Source organism: Homo sapiens, chromosome 10 (genome assembly GCF_000001405.40).
Source record: "Homo sapiens chromosome 10, GRCh38.p14 Primary Assembly".
Taxonomy (NCBI): Eukaryota; Metazoa; Chordata; class Mammalia; order Primates; family Hominidae; genus Homo; species Homo sapiens.
Window position 1 is genome coordinate 110,383,049 of NC_000010.11, and position 8,305 is coordinate 110,391,353.

General features: G+C 46.8%; 3 annotated features.

Annotated features, from left to right (window-relative positions):
• Nucleotides 5,245-5,524: an enhancer, noted in NCBI's record as "active region_4015". NCBI's record gives its function as "activates an Ori minimal core promoter by ATAC-STARR-seq in GM12878 lymphoblastoid cells {active_cell/tissue: GM12878}" and the evidence as "EXISTENCE:reporter gene assay evidence [ECO:0000049][PMID:35858748]".
• Nucleotides 5,575-5,734: an enhancer, noted in NCBI's record as "active region_4016". NCBI's record gives its function as "activates an Ori minimal core promoter by ATAC-STARR-seq in GM12878 lymphoblastoid cells {active_cell/tissue: GM12878}" and the evidence as "EXISTENCE:reporter gene assay evidence [ECO:0000049][PMID:35858748]".
• Nucleotides 5,745-5,814: an enhancer, noted in NCBI's record as "active region_4017". NCBI's record gives its function as "activates an Ori minimal core promoter by ATAC-STARR-seq in GM12878 lymphoblastoid cells {active_cell/tissue: GM12878}" and the evidence as "EXISTENCE:reporter gene assay evidence [ECO:0000049][PMID:35858748]".

Sequence of the window (8,305 nt, forward strand, 5' to 3'; positions counted from 1 at the left end):
ATATAAGGCAAGGAGGAAAAGAGCTCTGGGTGGTCCCATGAGGGATCAGAGCCAGGGAGTTGTGAGCTGGGCTGAGCGTTGAAGGCCAGTGGATCTAATCAAATGTCTGGAGATGGGGAATGTGTCAGGCTAAGGGTCTCAGGGAACCTGGGTGAGAGGCCACCCTCAGTGGGTAGAGTACAGGTCATAGAGAACGACATTAGAGAGACTGGTTGTATCTGACACCCCTCACCCTGGCTTTCCTCCTGGGGCTTAGGGCTGGGGCAAGGGGCAGGCATAGGTGAGCAGACAGGTGGGTAAGTAAATGCTGGGGCCTAATGCCAATAACCGGGGGGAGGGTTCCACACACCCGGGCCTGCCTTCATTTGCTCAACAACATTCAAGGAGCATTTGTTATTGCCCGTGACATTCCAGACCTGTGTCAGATGTGGGGACATGGCAGGAAAGTGATCCAAGTGCTGGTCTCAAGGAGGTCACAGTCTTAGATGCCTTACTTAGTTACGCCAGGTCCATCTGAAGGCCCACAGCTCTCTTATGAGCTCTGTGATCTGGGGCAAATGAGTTGTGTTTTTTGGACATTTCCCTCATCTGAGCGGATAGGGACACCAGTTCCATGCAGGGTTGATTGGAGGAATAACAACATGTGAGATTATGACACAAAAAATTTAGCATTCCCCGGCCGGGCGCTGTGGTTCACGCCTGTAATCCCAGCACTTTGGGAGGCCGAGGTGGGCAGATCGTGAGGTCAGGAGATGGAGTCCATCCTGGCTTACAAGGTGAAACCCCGTCTCTACTAAAAATACAAAAAGTTAGCTGGGTGTGGTGGCAGCCGCCTATAGTCCCAGCTACTCGGGAAGCTGAGGCAGGAGAATGGTGTGAACCCAGGAGGCAGAGCTTGTAGTGATCAGAGATTGTGCCACTGCACTCCAGCCTGGGTGACAGAGCGAGACTCTGTCTCAAAAAAAAAAAAAAAAAAAAAAAATTTAGCATTCCCCAAGTGCCAGTACATGGCAGCTATTTGATTGACATGCATTCAGGTACACTTGTAACCTTAATAAGTAAATGAAAGTTTTCCTAGAGAACCACTTCTACATGTGTGCAAAGAGGCATTTATGCTGAATGGTCTGTAACAGGCAAATACTGAAAATAGTGTCGAGTGTCTGTCTTAGTCCATTCAGGCTGCTATAACAAAATACGTTAGATGGGGTAATTTTTTTTTTTTTTTTTTTTGAGATGGAGTCTGGCTGTGTCACCAGGCTGGAGTGCAGTGGCATGATCTTGGCTCACCGCAACCTCTGCCTCCCGGGTTCAAGCGATTCTCCTGCTTCAGCCACCCAAGTAGCTGGGACTACAGGCATGCACCACTGTGCCTAGGTAATTTTTGCATTCTTAGTAGAGACGGGGTTTCACCATGTTGGCCAGGATGGTCTTGATCTCTTGACTTTGTGATCTGCCTGCCTCGGCCTCCCAGAGTGCTGGGATTACGGGCGTGAGCCACCACGCCTGGCCAGGCTGGGTAATTTATAAACAACAGAACTGTATTGCTCACAGTTCTGGAGGTTGGGAAGTCCAAGATCAAGGTGCTCACAGACTTGGTGTCTGGCGAGAACTCACTATGCTTCATAAACGGCACATCGGGACACAAGGATGAACAAGCTCTTTTGAGTTGCTTTTATAAGGGAACTAATCCCATTCACAAGGGTGGATCCCTCATGACTTAATCACCTCTTAAAGGCCCCAACTGCTAATACTACCACACTGGGGACTAGGTTTCAACATGTGAATCTGGGGAGACACAAACATTCAGACAATAGCAGTGTCTGTCAGAAGGGGAATGCTTAGCTATGGTACGTTAGTACTATGAAATACTGTGTAGTAGCTTAAATGAATGTGGTAGCTTATATGTACTGACACGGAAAGATCTCTAAGAAATAGCATTGAGTATAAAGGGAAAGTTGCAAAATGGGTGCAGAATGGTTCCATTTCTGTAAACCTACAGAAGATATCTAGATGGATTCACACAAAAGTGATGTAACCTTCGGTTACCCACTGGGGAGGGGCGGGAATTAATGAGGGAGGGTATTTCATCTGTTCAGATGCTGCTCAACTTGTGTCAGGGCTCACATCCCAATAAACCCATCATTAGTTTAAAACACTGTAAGTCAGACCATCATAAGTTGGCGACTGTGTGTACTGTTTAAAGTTTAGAATACCTGTTATATCTGAGGTATCAAAAATGAAGTTAAGGGACTGGGTGCAGTGGCTCATGCCTGTAGTCCTAGCAGTTTGGGAGGCCGAGGTTGGTGGATCATCTGAGGTCAGGAGTTCGAGACCAGCCTGGCCAATATGGTGAAACCTTGTCTCTACTAAAAATGCAAAAATTAGCCAGGCATGGTGGCTTGTGCCTGTAATCCCAGCTACTCAGGAGGCTGCAGCAGAAGAATCGCTTGAACCCGGGAGATGGAGGTTGCAGTGTGCAAAGATCGCGCCACTGCACTCCAGCCTGGGTGACAGAGTGAGACTTCATCTCAAAAAACCAAAAAAAAAAAAAAAAAAAAAAAACACAAAAAAACAAAAAACAAAAAAGATGACTTTAAGAAATGACTTTTTTTCTACCTCTCTAAGACTGTTTCTTTCTTTGCAGAACGAGGGGTTTTCATTAAAAGATATTTAATAGTCTTTCCATTCTTTTTTATTGTAGTAAAATATATATGATATTTATCATTTTAACCTTTTTTTTTTTGGGACGGAGTCTCACTCTGTCACCAGACTGGAGTGCAGTGGCACAATCTAGGCTCACTGCAACATCTACCTCCCGGGTTCAAGCGATTCTCCTGCCTCAGCCTCCCAAGTAGCTGGGACTACAGGCACATGCCACCACGCCCGGCTAATTTTTATATTTTTAGTAGAGATGAGGTTTCACCATGCTGGTCAGGATGGTGTTGAACTCCTGACCTCAGGTGATCCACCCACCTCTGCCTCGCAAAGTGCTGGGATTACAGGCGTGAGCCACCGCGCAGCCCATTTTAACCATTTTTAAATGTACACTTCAGTGACATTAAGAACATTCACATTGTTGTACAATCATCACCACCACTATCCAGCTCCAGAATGTTTTCATCATCCCAAATTGAAACTCCATACTCATTAAACAATAACTCCCTATTCCCTCCTCCCCACAGCCCCTGGTTACCACTATTCTTTCTATCTCTATGAATTTTACTATTCTAGATACATAATGTAAGTGGAATCACACAATATTTGTCCCTTTGTGTCTGGCTTATTTCACTTAGCATGTTTTCAAGGTCCGTCCATGTTGCAGCATGTATCAGAATTCTTTTGAAAGACAATAACAACCCAGTTTATTGTATCACATTTTGTTTATTTATTCATTTGTCAGTGAACATTTAGGTTGTTTCCACCTTTACTATTGTGAATAATACTGTTATGAACATGAGTATACAAATATCTGTTCGAGGCTGGGTGCGGTGGCTCACACCTGTAACCCCAGCACTTTGGGAGGCCGAGGTGGGCTGGGCAGATCACTTGAGGCCAAGAGTTCAAGACCAGCCTGGCCAACATGGTGAAACCCTGTCTCTATCAAAAATACAAAAATTAGCCAGGTATGGTGGTAGTGTGCCTGTAGTCCCAGCTATCCCAGAGGCTGAGGCAGGAGAATCGCTTGAACCTGGTAGGTGGAGGTTGTAGTGAGCCAAGATCGCACCACTGCACTCTAGCCTGTGCAACAGAGTGAGACTCTGTCTCCAAAAAAAAAAAAAAAAAAAAGAAAGAAAGAAAGAAAAGCAAGAAAAGGAAAAAAAAATCTGTTTGAGTCCCTGTTCTAATTCTTTTGTGTTTATACTTGGAAGTGGAATTGCTGGACCCTATGGTTATTCTGTTTAATTTTTTGAGAAACTGCCTACCGTTTTCCACTGAGGTTGCCTCATTTTACATTCCCACCGGCAATGCACAAGGGCACCAATTTCTCCACATCCGTACCAATACTTGTTACTTGTTTTTTGATAATAGCTACCCTAATGAGTACGAAGTGGTATCTCATTGTGGTTTTGATTTGTATTTCTCTAGTGATCAGTGATGTGAACATATTTTAATGTGTATATCTTTTTGTATATCATTTGTATATCATTTTGTATATCATGTGTATATCATTTGTATATCTTTTTTGGAAAAATGTCTATTCAAGTCCTTTTCTCATTTCTTGAATTGGGTTGTTTGGGTTTTTGTTGTTACTGAGTTTTAGAGTTCTTTAGATATCCTGGATTAATCCCCAATCGGATATATGATTTGCAAATACTGTATCTCATTCTTGGATGGTCTTTTCACTCTGTTGATAGTGTCTTTTAATGTGCAAAGTTCTAACTTTTTATGAAGTTCAATTTATGTAAAGGAATTACTCTAAAAGTATTTAAAATAAAAAAGGAGAAAAGTGCCGGGTGCATTTGCTCACACCTGTAGTCCCAGCAACTCAGGAGGTTGAGGCAGGAGGATTGCTTGAGCCCAGGAGTTCAAGGTTACAGTGAGCCATGGTTGTGCTACTTCACTGCAGCCTGGGCAACAGAGGGACATCCTTTCTCTAAGAAAAAGAAAGAAAGAGAGAAAGAGAGAAAGAAAGAGAGAAAGAGAGAAAGAAAGAAAGAAAGAGAGGAAGGAAGGGAGGAAGGAAGGAAGGGAGGGAGAGAGAGGGAAAGAAAGAAAGAGAAAGAAAGAAAGAAAAAGAAAGAAAGAGAAAAAGAAAGGAAGGAAGGAAGAAAGAAAAGGAAGGGAAGGGGAATGGGGGAGGCAAGGGAAAGGAAAGGAAGGGAGAGAGAAAGAAAAGAGAAAAAAAAAGAAACGAGGTGGAAAAAGAAAAAGGAAGATGGGGCAGAGACATGTGGAACCAAAAGCAGGTTCTGTGGTCCTTGGCTCTTGTTCCTGGCTCGACATCACCTAGCTCAGGCTGCCCCAGCCCAGGGGCACAGCATTGAGAACAGAAGGTAGAAGGTGGGAGAGAGGCTGGCTGGGTTCCGGTTAGCCCCAACCCAGGCTCACAGGCCGCCTGACTGGGAGTGGGTGTGTGTGTGGAGGGGGTGGGAGCCCTGGGGTTTCCCTGAGATCTGTAACCTGGGGACTAGTAGGTGGGCTCAAAGGCAGGAAGTTCTCAGTTAGGAGACCTGTGGGTGCACCCACCTGCCTCTCTCAGCCTCCTTAACTGCAGATTAAATTCCGGGGCCCAGAGCCACGGTTTCTAAAGAGCATCTGTCTCTCTCTCTCTCTTTCTGTCTCTCTCTCTCTGCCCTTTGCTCCCTGTAAATCACTCATCACATTTCTTTTGTTTCATGAGTTTTTTTTTCTGATTCTAAAAATAATATGCTTATAGAAAAGTGACCAAAGAATAGAGGGAAAAAACAAACCACAAGCCTACCATCCTGTGTAATAACAGTGACCATTCATTGGGTGTGAACCTTGTGGCAGGAACTGGGCTTCATACTTCCCTGACACCCGCCTCCAGACTTCCCCCAGCCCCTCACAATCATACAGGCCCCACCAAGGAAACTGAACCACTTGGTGAAGGGCTAGTTCGAACACAGCTGGGCTAGAAGAAATGATCCTGGCATGTCTTGGGGAAAGTAATCTGGTGTTAGGGTGACATGCATGACAAAACCATGTGCACAGCGGCCAGCAAGGAGGAGTGTGTGAGTGACTTTCCCTGTATCCAGCTGCTCTGGAAAGTGGGGTAGAAGGGAAAGTCGGGGACTCATGGCTCCCAAGACCTCTTTTATCTCCCTTCCAACAACAACGTGAAGCACAGAGCTCAATCCTATCACCCGTGATAAACCTCACAGTTAATGATCCAGCTGCCGCCAGGGGGACAGACTCACTGTCGCGCTGTCCAGAGAGATGTCTAGAGGGATAAGGGAGGGGATTTAGGAGGTCTATACATTATGCCTCTGGGTGACCTGTAGCAGGGAAAGGGGGTGTTGGGGGAGGTCTTCCCTTTCTTGTCTCCAGGCCAGAAAGTGAATGATCCCTTGGGATTGGTCACCAAAAGACACATTTTCAAAAAACCGCTGCCTTTGCTGTTAGTTGTCATGAGGTTGTCATGGTTGTCATGAGGAGTGTGAGGGGGCTCTTCAGGTCCCAGAGGCTTGACTGGCCGGGGTAGAGAAGCCCCCAAATGCCAGGTTTCGGGGGTCATTCCACTGAATCTTTCCCCAGGTCTGGCTGCTCCCTGTGTCCCTCCTGAAGAACCACAGCCTCACATGCCTGCATTTCCATGGCACACGGGGGTGGCTGACTCCTCGGCGTGAGGAGCCTGCAGCCTCGGAACCTCCCTTGTGCTTTGCTTCAGCCTTGTCTGCACCAGGCACTGAGACGAAATGATGAGCAACACCCATGAGGCTCTGCCTTCACAGGGGAAGACAGACCAGAAACATAGCAGCAAATCAGGAAGCAGATGATTCCAGCTGGTGACAGTGGTGACGAACCTCAACTGGGATGAACCGGGTGAGGCTGACTTTAGCCAGAGCTCCAGGTGACTGCTCTGAGGAGACAACATTCAGGCTGCAACCAGAATGATGAGAAGGGGTCTGCGTGTGAAGATCTAGAGGAAAAGACATCTGGGCAGAGGGAAGAGCAAATGCAAAGGGCCTGAGTGGGGAAGGAGCATGCCTGATTTGAGGGAAAGAAAGGCACATTTTAAAGCAGCAAGGCTCAGTGACCTTGCCCAATGCTGCCATATTGTGGATGAAGAGGCAAAGGCCCGGGAGAGAACCTGATTGGTCCATTGTCAATAGCCAGACCTTCCCTCTCGTCCTGGACAGTACTGTTTTCACTCTGCAAGTCTGCAGATGCCCCTCCGGCTTCAACTCATCCACCTGGTAAGGGCAGCATTGCAGCATAGGGCACAGTCACAAGAGCAACCCCACCCTCCTCTCCCTCATGATGGAAAGTTGTGGTGGCTGGGCATGGTGGCTCATGCCTGTAATCCCAGCTCTTAGGGAGGCAGAGGCGGGAGGATAGCTTGAGCCCAGGAGTTCGAGACCTGCTTGGGCAATATAGTGAGACCTTGTTCTCCACAAAAAGGAAAAAAAAAAAGAAAGAAAGAGTGTGATGTGAATGGGTGAGGGCAGCCCTCCTGCTGCTGGGGGACCTGGAAGCCAGCCTCCTTATCCATCAATATGGCACCTTGACAATCAGCAGCGGAAAGAGTAATGTGGCTTAAAACTCACCTCATGGTGGGTCACTCACACATGAGCGCTGAGACCTGCTGAGTGGTGCAGGCCTGACTCCGAAGGTCTCGCTAGTCCAGCCTTCTCCTCCTAAGATGGGGAAACCCAAGGATGAGCTGGAAGAACAGGTGAGAGGACCTCGGTTCTAATTGTCCAGTTCGTGTCTCAGTTTCTTCATTAAGAAACAGGCTAACTTGGCCAGATGCCATGGCTCATGCCTGTAATCCCAGCACTTTGAGAGGCCAAGGTAGGAGGATTGCTTGAGCCCAGAAATTTGAGACCAGCCTGGGCAATATAGGGAGGCCCCCATCTACAAAATTTGTTTTAAAAATTAGCCAAGCATGGCGGTGTGCACCTGTGGTCTTCAGAAGGCGGAGATGGAAGGATTGCTTGAGCCCAGGAGTTTGAGACTGGAGTGGACCAGGTTCGTGTCACTGCACTACAGCCTGGGCAACAGAGCAAGACCTTGTCTCAAAACAAAACAAACAAAGCTAATTCAAGTCTTGTCTTACTTTAGGCAAGTTTTGTCCTTAGGAAAACAATTCTCATTTAAATAGTTTACAGGGGCTATGACAATGCTGACAACTCTCACCCAGTGGTTAGAGAGTTTAAATAAGAAGTTTTGGTGGGTGCAACATGGCTCCCACCTGTAATCCCAGTGCTCTGGAGGGCCGAGGCGGGAGGATCCCTTGAGCTCAGGAGTTCAACGCTACAGTGAGCTGTGATGGCACCACTGCACTCCAGTCTGGTCAACAGAGTAGGGCTCCCATCTCTAAAAAGAAAGAAAAATAAAATAAATAATAGAGTTCCTTGAAGGGACAGATGGAAACCCCACACAAAATACCACTGGCTCTTAAACGTAGAAAGGTGCTCATCCACCTCCTAATAACAGCAATGAGAATTCAAGCTACGCTGAGACTCTGTATTTCATCTGTCTGTTTGCGAAAGACCAAAATGTTTGCTGATGCTGTTGGCGAGTAGGGGAGGAGAAGCTGGCCCAACATTCTGTGGAGGGCTTGGTGGCAACATTCAGTGAAAGGATAAAGGCCTGCACTCTTCTAGTTGGTACTGCTATT